The sequence below is a fragment of the Homo sapiens genome, chromosome 8 (assembly GCF_000001405.40).
Source record: "Homo sapiens chromosome 8, GRCh38.p14 Primary Assembly".
Classification (NCBI taxonomy): Eukaryota; Metazoa; Chordata; class Mammalia; order Primates; family Hominidae; genus Homo; species Homo sapiens.
Window position 1 is genome coordinate 52969226 of NC_000008.11, and position 11327 is coordinate 52980552.

The window sequence follows — 11327 nt, forward strand, 5'->3', positions numbered from 1 at the left end:
GTCTCACTGGCTCAGGAGTGAAGCTGCAGACCTTCGCGGTGAGTGTTACAGCTCATAAAGGCAGTGTGGACCCAAAGAGTGAGCAGTAGCAAGATTTATTGCAAAGAGCGAAAGAACAAAGTTTCCACAGTGTGGAAGGGGACCCCAGCGGGTTGCCACTGCTGGCTCTGGGCAGCCTGCTTTTATTCTCTTATGTGGCCCCACCCACATCCTGCTGATTGGTAGAGCCGAGTGGTCTGTTTTGACAGGGTGCTGATTGGTGCGTTTATAATCCCTGAGCTAGACACAAAGGTTCTCCACATCCCCACCGGATTAGCTAGATCCAGAGTGTGGACACAAAGGTTCTACAAGTCCCCACCAGAGTAGCTAGATACAGAGTGTCTATTGGTGCATTCACAAACCCTGAGCTAGACACAGGGCGCTGACTGGTGTGTTTACAAACCTTGAGCTAGATACAGAGTGCCGATTGGTGTATTTACAATCCCTGACCTAGACATAAAGGTTCTCCAAGTTCCCACCAGACTCAGGAGCCCAGCTGGCTTCACCCAGTGGATCTCACACTGGGGCTGCAGGTGGAGCTGCCTGCCAGTCCGGCACCGAGTGCCCACACTCCTCAGCCATTGGGTGGTCGATGGGACTGGGCACCATGGAGCAGGGGGCAGCACTTGTTGGGGAGGCTTGGGCTGCACAGGAGGTCACGGCGGAGGTGGAGGGGAGCGGAGGCTCAGGCATGGCGGGCTGCAGGTCCTGAGCCCAACCCTGCCCCGTGGGAAGGCAGCTAAGGCCCGGCGAGAAATCGAGTGCAGCGCTGGTGGGCTGGCACTGCTGGGGGACCCAGTACACCCTCCGCAGCTGCTGGCCTGGGTGCTAAGCCCCTCATTGCCCGGGGGCGGCAGGGCCGGCCAGCTGCTCCTAGTGCGGGGCCGCCAAGCCCACGCCCACCTGGAACTCCAGCTGGCCCGCAAGTGACACGTGCAGCCCCTGTTCCTGCTCTCGCCTCTCCCTCCACACCTCCCTGAGAGCTGAGGGAGCTGGCTCTGGCCTTGACCAGCCCAGAAAGGGGCTCCCACAGTGCAGCGGTGGGCTGAAGGGCTCCTCAAGTGCCGCCAAATTGGGAGCCCAGGCAGAGGAAGCACCAAGAGCGAGCGAGGGCTGTGAGGACTGCCAGCACGCTGTCACTTCTCACTGGCATGAAGTGCACATGAGGTGTTATGAGAATGCAGTAAGAAATAGATTTATGACAGTGTTTCTTCTCTAATAGCTGCTAAAGATGGTTTACTCAGTCATAAAGAAGTCGCCTTGTAGTCCTAAGCTGGGTGTTTTATTTATTGATCTGTTAGTTTACAGACCATATTGGCCATTTCATTTATCTTGAAAATGAGAGTTTATCACTGAGATCCCATGGGGCTTTATATTAATTGCGTATTTAAAGAAAATTAAAAAAAAGAAACAAAATAGAGAAGTAAATGATTAGGTGTCATGATGTGGCTTTTGACTTATAAACCTGAATTTGAGGTAAAAAAAAAAACAGGTTTCCTACTCTGCAGCTCATCAATTCCCAGCAGGTGGCCCCATGTGGCTGGAGGCAGGGCTTCCATGAAGTGCTGAGACCTTAAAGCTGTGGCCTTTGCTCTCTTTCCCCTTGCCTTTGAGGCGTAAACTGAACAAATGTAGAGCAATTTTAGAAATCCAGTATAACTTAACAGATACAGGGCTTTCTGTTGTCTGAGTTTCAGAAGTCTGCCTTCATCTTTAGTTTCACTGAAATGTTGTCTCAGGTTGCCTGAGTCTTAAGAAAACAGGATCTTGATCCCTCTGTTTCACGTGAAAGGGGCAAACGCCTGTTCAGGCCTCACTTCCTGCCAAGCAGTCTTCTGACATCACAGGCCACCACCTGGCTGCCCCTGACTCACTTTCTCTGTCTCTAGCACTGCTGTTCTCTTATCTCACTCTTCTCATTTATTGTACATACTTCTTCGTGCTACCTTCAGGTCATCATAGATTAGCGTTTTCAAAACCCTGTTACTATCTCAGGTACCCATAAAATGATTCTTGTTTAAAGACTGAAAGGGGCTCTGTGATCATACACAACTGAATGCAGACAGAACTAGTCACTATGTTTGCCAATTTCATTAAGTGGGGGAAAAATAAAAAAACTTAGCCTTGGCAAGTGGGGAGCTTCATTTAGACAAGTCGATTGAATGCTCTACTTCCTAACAGGGTGCTTTGATCTCAGATAAACACATACATTAGAAATTATTATCCTAAAATGTTAGGTTTGCTTTTAAGAAATATTTTATGAAATGTTTCTGGTTATTTATAGGATAAAATCTAAAGCCTTTATCTTGTCATTCAAGGTTCATCAAAGTTGAGCCCCAGTTAAATTTTTAATTTTTTTTAATTGAAGTGAAACTCACATAAACAGTTTTAAAATGAAAAATTTAGTGACATTTAGTACATTCAAAAAGTTTGGCCACCACCACTTCTATCTAGTTCCAGACATTTTTATTACTCCTAAATAAACCCTGTGCCCATAGGCAGTCACTCCCCGTTCCTCTTTCCCCCAGCCACTGGCAACCACCAATCTGCTTTCTGTCTGTAAAGATTTGTCTGTTCTGAATATTTCATATAAATAGATTCACACAACATGTGACCTGCTGTGGCTGATTGCTTTGACTTAGCTAATGTTTTCGAGCTTCATTCATAGTGTGGTGTGACAGGAAGACCTTTTCACCTACCAATTTAGGTTCAGTGGCTGGGGCCTGCTAATTTAGCTGACAATGGACAGATTAACAGGAGAAAAGATAACGTTTATTCATATGTAGAACACAAAAGAAGTGGCTCCTGAACTGCTAAAGATAGAGGTTTATACGGCATCTTTCACAGGGGAAGAGGAGAGGGGAAAGGGGGCTTCTATGGGCAGATCCAATGGTTTCCTTATGAAAGACAAATCGATTTTTAGGGGAACAAATACAAGATAAGAAAATTTGTGATGACTTATGTTTAGGTAGGTACAAGTGGTCTTCATCTTTTTCTGGGCTGTAAAACTCCCTGGAGAGGGATTTTTGTGGCAGCCTCACTCCTAGAAGTTTCTGCTTCTAGTAGGATAAGGGAAGCTCCAAAAAAGCTGCTTTCTACATCTGTTGAATCTCAAATGCCTTCAGTTTAAAACAATCTTCATACCAACTCTGGGGGCTGAGTGGGTCCCCACAGTAGCATGTCTTTCTACAGCTGAAAAACATTACATGTTTTTCTACAGCATGTCTTTCTACAGTTGCTGCTTTCTACAGTTGAAAAACATTACATTCACCTATTCATGGTTGATGGACATTTATTTTCTACATTTGGCTATTACAAATAATGCTACTACGAACATTCATGTACAAGATTCTGTGTGGGCTTTTCTCATTTCTCTTGAGTGGAAGTGATTGGGTCATAGATTAACTCAATGTTTAACCTTTTGAGGAACTGCCAGACTATTTTCCAAAGGGGCCACACCATTTTATATTCACATCCTAACCAGACTTGCTATTATTGGTTTTTTTTTTTTAATTGTAGCCCTTCTAGTGGGTATCAAGTGTTATCACACAGTGGTTTTGATTTGCATTTCCTTAGTGACTAATAGTGTTGAGCATCCTTCCATGTGCTTTTTGGCCGTTTGTATATCTTCTCTGGAGAAATGTCTGTTGAAGTCCTTTATCCCTTTTTTAATTGGCTTGTCTTTTTAAAATTGTTTTTAGAGTTTTTAAAAAAATGTATTCTGGCTTCTAGACCCTTATTAGACATGATTTGCAAGTACTTTCTCTCATTCTGTAGGTTGTCGTTTCACTTTCTTGACAATGTCTTTTAACACACCAAAGTTTTTAAGTTTGATAAAGTCCAGTCTGTTTTTTCTTTTGTTGCTCATGCTTTCTGTGTTAATTTTTAAATTTTAAATTCAAAAACAAGATGAAGAGCTAGAAAAAGCATCTCTTTGGCTCAGTGTTATTTGAATGCCTTCAAAAAACTTATAGGGAAGTGGAATAATGAGTTCTGCTTCATTTTACTGTCTCTTCACTATATTTACTAGCTTGAAGAATAAATAAGAGGATTTTCTTTTTTTGTATTTCGAAAAGATGAAACTTTCTGAGAACTCACCACTTATCGGAAACACCATTTTTATTTCAAGAGGCAAATATCTATCCTAAGAAATAAAGTACAGAATGCTCTGTTTACCATCAAAGGGCTATTTTCTGGAATTCTGCATATTATATATTTTCTTAGAAAACACTACAAATGTTTTCCCATACCAAATAACAAAATCCTAATTCTAACATGCATATAAAAAGTGTCTTGTGGAAAATATTAGTATTTATTGGCTAAGTGTCAATATTAGCCAGATGTCAAGTATGCAGGAGACCTTTGATATGAATTACACCTTTACTTCTCTGTGGTAGTTAATTTTATGTCAGTTTGACTGGGTTAAGGCACACCCAGATAGCTGGTAAAGCATTCTTTCTGGGTGTGTCTGTGAGGGTGTTTCTGGAAGAGACTGGCATTCAACTGGGTGGGCTGAGGAAAGAGGACCTGCCATCACCAGTGTGGGATGGGTACCATCCAATCTGTTGAGGGCCCAAGTAGAACAGAAAGGTCTCTTTTTTAGAGCTGAGTCATCCACCTTCTGCACTTGTACGTCAGAGCTCCAGGTTCTTGGGACTTTGGACTCTGGGACTTAACACTGTTGGCCCTTTGTGTTCTCAGGCCTTCAGCCTTAAACTGGGAGTCACACTCTCAGCTGCTTTGGTGTTCAGGCCTTCAGACTCAGACTGAATGACACCCCTGGCTCCCCTGGGTCTCCAGCTTGATTTGCCAATCATGGGGCTTCTCAGCTTCCATAATTTCATGAGCCAATTCTCATCATAAATCCCCTCTTTTATGTCTATGTATGTCCTACTGGTTTTGTTTCTCTGGAGAACCCTGACTGATACATTCTCTAACACTTCAGAAATAGACTGTATTATCCATATTATTATGACACTCTAGGGCTAAGGGAAATTTTATAAAATTGGCCTCATGTCATTCAATTTGTAATTCATAAATGTAACACGAGCTAGACAATTTCAGTTTACAGCCTGATGACAACAGATGCAACATTCCAAAGTGATGTCACTTTTTTGAAAAGTGAATGGTCCTACTTTTCCCCGGCCTATAACCTTTCAGTGGATTCCCATCATTTTTAGACTGAAGTATAAGGCTTACAAGGCCTTTCCAATTCTTTGCCTTTCTCCCCCACCTCATTTTTTCGGCACTCCCTCTTCTTTCCCTTTCCCACCTGATGGCCTTATCTGGCATCCCTAATATTTAGCCTGTTGCTCCTATAGCCAAGAGCTGAAAGGCTTCATGATTTGTTCTTTACCAAATGTGTTATCTACAGTAAGGAGAGTGGAGAAACCTAGAAAGCAGGATTTTGGTTAGAATTCTATAAAACCCTCAGATATCCCATCTAGAGTTGACTTTTTAAGATGTATGGGATGTGTCATTCCTCCGGCCTACATATTGATGTCAGCAAATTAAGAAATGGTCTCCCAGCCCCCATGATCCTGGCAACTGCATGTGTCCCCTGATGGCCAGCTGCCACAGGCAAGAGTAAAGGGCCAGAGAGCTGTGTGATCTTGGCAGCTCCTTTCTCCTGCCACCCTTTCTCCTAATACCGATGATGTCAGCACTTCAATCTGCCTAGGAGAAAATCGTACATTGTAGTACATGACCCCTTGTTTGTCTTTCTGCCAGTTGCCCAAAGAATCCCCAGACTCCTAGATCATCACTCAAGACTTGAACTCTTGGCCATATAGTCTGGTGATGCCAGCGGCCATGGTGTCTGATACTTGAGTTTTGCTCTGGCCGTGGTTCATCTGGTTTTGTGCACCTTGGCTTCAAAGTTCTTCTAAAGCTAACCTCACAGTCAGATAGCTGGATAAGTGATCAACAGCAGCGTTACCTGAAGTCTTTATGTATCTTATCTGTGCACTATCATCCTTTTCCATAAATGTAGGTTGAGGCCTGAATACTAATTCAATCTCACTACCACCGTCCATTTCTGAATCAATGGCAAATGTTGCATTGTCAATATCAAGCTCAAGCCCAGAATCAGCAGATGTTTTGTTCCATTTGTGACTATGGCCTGTTTCCTTGTTGTTCTGTGTGGATGCATCACGACAGTGCAAACCGTCAGCATTCTTCTCTTCTTCTCTGCTACCATTTTCAGTCTATTGTTTCTTGCCTCACTATAATCTGCTCCTGACTGGTGCTTTCAGTCCTTCTTCAAAGCTGAGACTGAGTGCTCACTGATTACTGTGCTTGTGGATGCTGGCTAATACTCTCTCTCCAAGAGCTTCATACTCATCACGACGTGGGTAAATTTTGCTGATGAGTGCATCAAACATTTTAGACTAAAGTATAAGGCTTACAAGGCCCTTCCCAATTCTTTGCCTACCACCCCACCTCATTTTTGTTAGCCCTAGCTCTTTTTTTCCTTTCCCACCCTGTGGCATTTTCTGGCATCCCTAACATTGAGCCCACTGCTGACACCACCAAGAGCTGAAGGATCCCTTTAGTGATCTTTTGGAAACTAGATTTTTTTTTTGACAGGTAGGGTGTTTTTTGCTGTCATTTCTAAGGACTGTGATGATGCAGACTGCACAAAAATGATGTAAACACTCCTTTATGGTCATGGTGTCTTTCAACACATCCAAACAAATTAGACCTTATTTCACTCTGTAGACTTTGAGGTGAAGCCACAATTTCTAAGCCATCTGTTACTGCCTCTTCAGGTGTTTGTTTTCATTCATATAAACTGAACACTCATGTTTTGGTTAATGGTTGAGATCCATTTGTTTGCACAGCCTGAGACATTACAGCTCCTGCCCCCAGCCCAATTTTCTTTTTGACCTAGACTGGTTTACACTATTCAAATATTTTCCCCTTAATTTATGATTTTCTTTTTGGAAAGGACTCCGTTTTCAGTACCTTTTCTTTTCTCTTAAAAATATGGCTAAGTTTGGCCAGGTGCAGTGGCTCATGCCTGTAATCCTAGTACTTTGGGAGGCCGAGGCAGGCAGATCACTTGAGGTTAGGAGTTCGAGACTAGCCTGAACAACATGGTGAAACCCCGTATCTATTGAAAATACAAAAATTAGTCTGTCCTGGTGACATGCACATGTAATTCCAGCTACTTGGGAGGTGAGGCATGAGAATCTCTTGAACCTGAGAGGTGGAGGTTGCAGTGAGTCAAGATAGTGCCACTGCACTCCAGCCTGGGCAACAGAGGGAGACTCCGTTTCAGAAAAAAATTAATTAATTAATTAAAACAAAAAAAATATATATATATATATAAGTTCTTTTCCACAAAGTTTGGTTCTATTTGAAGTATACTTCTGGCCCAGAAATTTTTCATAGTTCTGTACTCTTAAGTAAAGATTTAATTGGCCATCCTTTCCCCTTTCCCCCTCAAAAGGTCTTTAGGCCTACAGAATGTTATATAATACGTATTCTGACTTTTTTCCCTAGAGTCTTGTATATTTTCTTTTCTATATAAACTGCAGTATCTTCATGAAGACTAAGGGTCAAATTTACTATGCTTAAAGACAATTTTCATAGGATTATTCTTTCCATAGTATTTTCTTCCATAATTTTCTTATTTTAGAAACAAGTGTTTATTGAGTTAGTGTCCATTGTAATGCAATGTTATTATTTTTTTTTCCATTCTTTTCCCTTGTAATTTTGGAATTTCTGGTCCTGGAAAGAGAATCAAACAAAATCTTAATGTTAATCTATGAGAAATTGGTTCATTGACGCATTTTGCTGAAGAAAGAAAAATTAAATTGGTTGTGAAATGTAGTCTTCAAGTGTATATTTGAGAGTGCTTTTGGCCAGGCGGGGTGGCTCACGCCTGTAATCTCAGCACTTTGGAAGGCCAAGGTGGGTGGATCACCTGAGGTCAGGAGTTTGAGACCAGCCTGGCCAACAGGGTGAAACCCCGTCTCTACTAAAAAAAAAAAAAATTAGCTGGGTGTGGTGGCACACACCTGTAATCCCAGCTACTTGGGAGGCTGAGGCAGGAGAACCTCTTGAACCTGGGAGGCAGAGGTTACAGTGAGCCAAGATCACACCACAGCACTCCAGCCTGGGTACAGAGCGAGATTCCATCTCAAAAAGAAAAAAAAGAAAAAAAAAGTGCTTTTTTGGTATTAGTTCTACTGTCACTTCAGGTTATTTATTATATATGTTTGATTTTTTTCCTATTAAAATACCAGATATATGGAGACATTTGACACATTAGCCTTGATGAAAAGTATAAGATACGTTTAAAGTGGCTGGGCACGGTGGCTCACGCCTGTAATCCCAGCACTTTGGGAGGCTAAGGCAGGCAGATCACGAGGTCAGGAGATCGAGATCATCCTGGCTAACATGGTGAAACCCTGTGTCTACTAAATATATAAAAAATTAGCTGGGGGAGGTGGTGGACGCCTGTAGTCCCAGCTACTCCAGAGGCTGAGGCAGGAGAATGGCGTGAACCCAGGAGGCGGAGCTTGCAGTGATCCAAGATCGTGCCACTGCACTTCAGCCTGGGCAACAGAACAAGACACCATCTCAAAAAAAAAAAAAAAAAGTTATGTTTAAAGCTTCCCTATTTTTTTTTTTTATTGGTAGCCACATAAGTTTCAAGAATAATATGGCGGCCAGGCACAGTAGCTCATGCCTGCCAGCACTTTGGGAGGCTGAGGCTGGTGGATCACCAGAGCTCAGTAGTTTGAGACCAGCCTGGCCAACATGGTGAAACCCCATCTCTACTAAAAAGACAAAAAAAAAAAATCCGGGAGTGGTGGCGGGTGCCTGTAGTCCCAGCTACTCAGGACACAGCTGAGGCGGGAGAATCAGTTGAACCCAGGAGGTGGAGGTTGCAGTGAGCTGGGGATGGTGCTACTGATCTCCAGACTGGCAACAGAGGGAGACTCCATCTCAAAAAAAAAAAAATAATAATAATAATGATAATAATATGGTACATAGAATGAACAACAGAAAAAAATCCAGTTTGTTTCCATTAGAAAAGTGTGTTTAGCATTTTGAGTTGCCACATCAGCTTATAAATTTGGTGCGCTCTGCTAATTACACCTTGTGGAAGCAGATGAATGAAACTTGAGCCCTGTTTTGATATGTAATGAAAGATTATTCTGTAGAAGAATGTCAGCTAGTAGGGTAAAGTCATTCTACTTTTAATTTGTATACTGAGGGACAATGTTGGGTGTTTGGGATCCAGAAGGCTTTATGCTGACAGGTTAGAAACAAGATTGGCTTGTGTGTTATTTTTCATCTCTCTCCTGACTCTAGGTATGTTTCCAAGTTTATATTATCGCACTATTTACAAACATATGTTTTCATTGAGAAATTAATCCCAAAGGATTTTTGATAGATAGACCTCCAGTACCATTATAACTAAAGTCTGTCTAGTTATTGTACATATTTATCCATCAGTTTCAACAGATTGGGGCTGGCTTGGTGTTCTAAATGTATTTAAAATCTGTTTCTACAGGGTTTATTTTTTGTTTTGTTTTGTTTTTAATCTGTGCTGTGAAATTTGAAAACCACTAAAAATGAAGGGAACTTTTTTTTTTTTTTTTTTTGAGAAAAAGTCTGATTCTGTTGCCCAGGCTGGAGTGCAGTGGTGCAATCTTGGCTTACTGCAACCTCTGCCTCCTGGGTTCAAATGGTTCTCATGCCTCACTCTGCTGAGTAGCTAGGATTACAGGCATGTGCCACCATGCCCAGCTAATTTTTGTATAAAAATAAAGGGAAATATTCAATTCCTTTTCTGATGTAATGTAAGTTGTATAGATTACTAATGCATGTCCCTGGTTTTGTGATAAAACTTCTTAGGTTTTATTGATGACGTTTTAGATTCATAGTTGTGTTAAATCAGTTAAATAGATTCCCGTTGTGAATATTAATTGAAATTTTGTCTTTAAGCAGAGAGTTATTTATGAATACAAGCTCTGTGCCTAGAGAATGTATGTGTTTTTATCTGGTAGTATGGAAGGATATAAACTACATCATTAGTGAAAAACAAAAAAAAAGACTTGAACTCTTTTCCCTGTCTCCTATCCTTCCTGAACTACTGAAAATCCTCTCTTGCAGCCTCTGGAGCTCATGGTGCATCACTGGTAAATTCCTTAGGGACCTCCTCTGATCCTCTTCCTTCTTGCTCTGACCAAAATCATGATCTTATCCGAGAATACTGCCTCCCTTGTAGCTCTATCAGTTGGCATCTATTTTCATTTCATTAAGCTCTGTAACGCTAGGCCTGGGGGTAGAGTACCTGCTCACCTTGCTCACTGCCACATCCAGACTAGTGTCTCTTCCTCCTTCTGAAAATGCCCTGGCTTTGCAGCTCATGCCATTAGTCTATATTACTCACTAGCCCTCCTTAGCGCAGTCGTCTCCAGGCCCTGTCCTGCTCTCCACGTTAATGGAAGATGTTGGCACCTGCCCTGCCACTCTGTCCAACACTCCTGTTATAATTCTAGATCTTTAGTATCCACACAGATAATCCTTCCAATATTTGGCTTCTTTTTTCCTTGTCTGCCTCTTCTACATTGACCTTGTGCCAAGACCAGCTCAGTCATGGAGACCCTAACCCAGCAGCAGTAGAGAAATTAAAGACACACACACAGAAATATAGAGTGTGGGGTGGGAAATCAGGGGTCTCACAGCCTTCAGAGCTGAGGACCTTGAACAGGGATTTACCCACGTATTTACTGACAGCAAGCCAGTCATAAGATTTCCTAAAAGTATTCCTTATGGGAAATAAAGGGACTGGCCAAAATAAAGGGATGGGCTCTGGCTAGTTATCTGCAGTATGAACATGTCCTTAAAGCACAGATCACTCATGCTATTGTTTGTGGTTTAAGAATGCCTTAAGCGGTTTTCTGCCCTGGGTAGGCCAGGTGTTCCTTGCCCTCATTCCAGTAAACCGACAACCTTCCAGCATGGGTGTCAAGGCCATCACAAACATGTCACACTGCTGCAGAGATTTTGTTTATGGCCAGTTTTGGGACCAGTTTGTGGCCAGATTTTGGAGCCTGTTCCCAACATGTTCCCCTTCTTTGTTTTGCAAAGCGATAAGAGCAAAGGCAGCTTTGTCACTATGAGCTACTTCTTGCAGGAGTCAGGATCTGCATCTGCAGAGGCAATGGTGATCGCTGCTATCATAGCTACCATTAAATTACTCATTGTGACTGGTTGTCCTGCTTTCCTCAGGTTTTCTTCTGCCATCTGTGACAGCTTCTTGATCT

General features: G+C 42.3%; 1 pseudogene, besides 1 other annotated feature; it reads right to left on the reverse strand.

Moving 5' to 3' along the window:
- Positions 1297-1798: an enhancer, noted in NCBI's record as "NANOG hESC enhancer chr8:53883082-53883583 (GRCh37/hg19 assembly coordinates)". NCBI's record gives its function as "activates a minimal SCP1, AML or CMV promoter by ChIP-STARR-seq in naive H9 embryonic stem cells {active_cell/tissue: H9 hESC(naive)}" and the evidence as "EXISTENCE:reporter gene assay evidence [ECO:0000049][PMID:30033119]".
- On the reverse strand, positions 5805-6891 carry LOC101060191 (E3 ubiquitin-protein ligase RING2-like; annotated as a pseudogene).
- Between the last annotated feature and the right edge of the window lie 4436 nt (positions 6892-11327).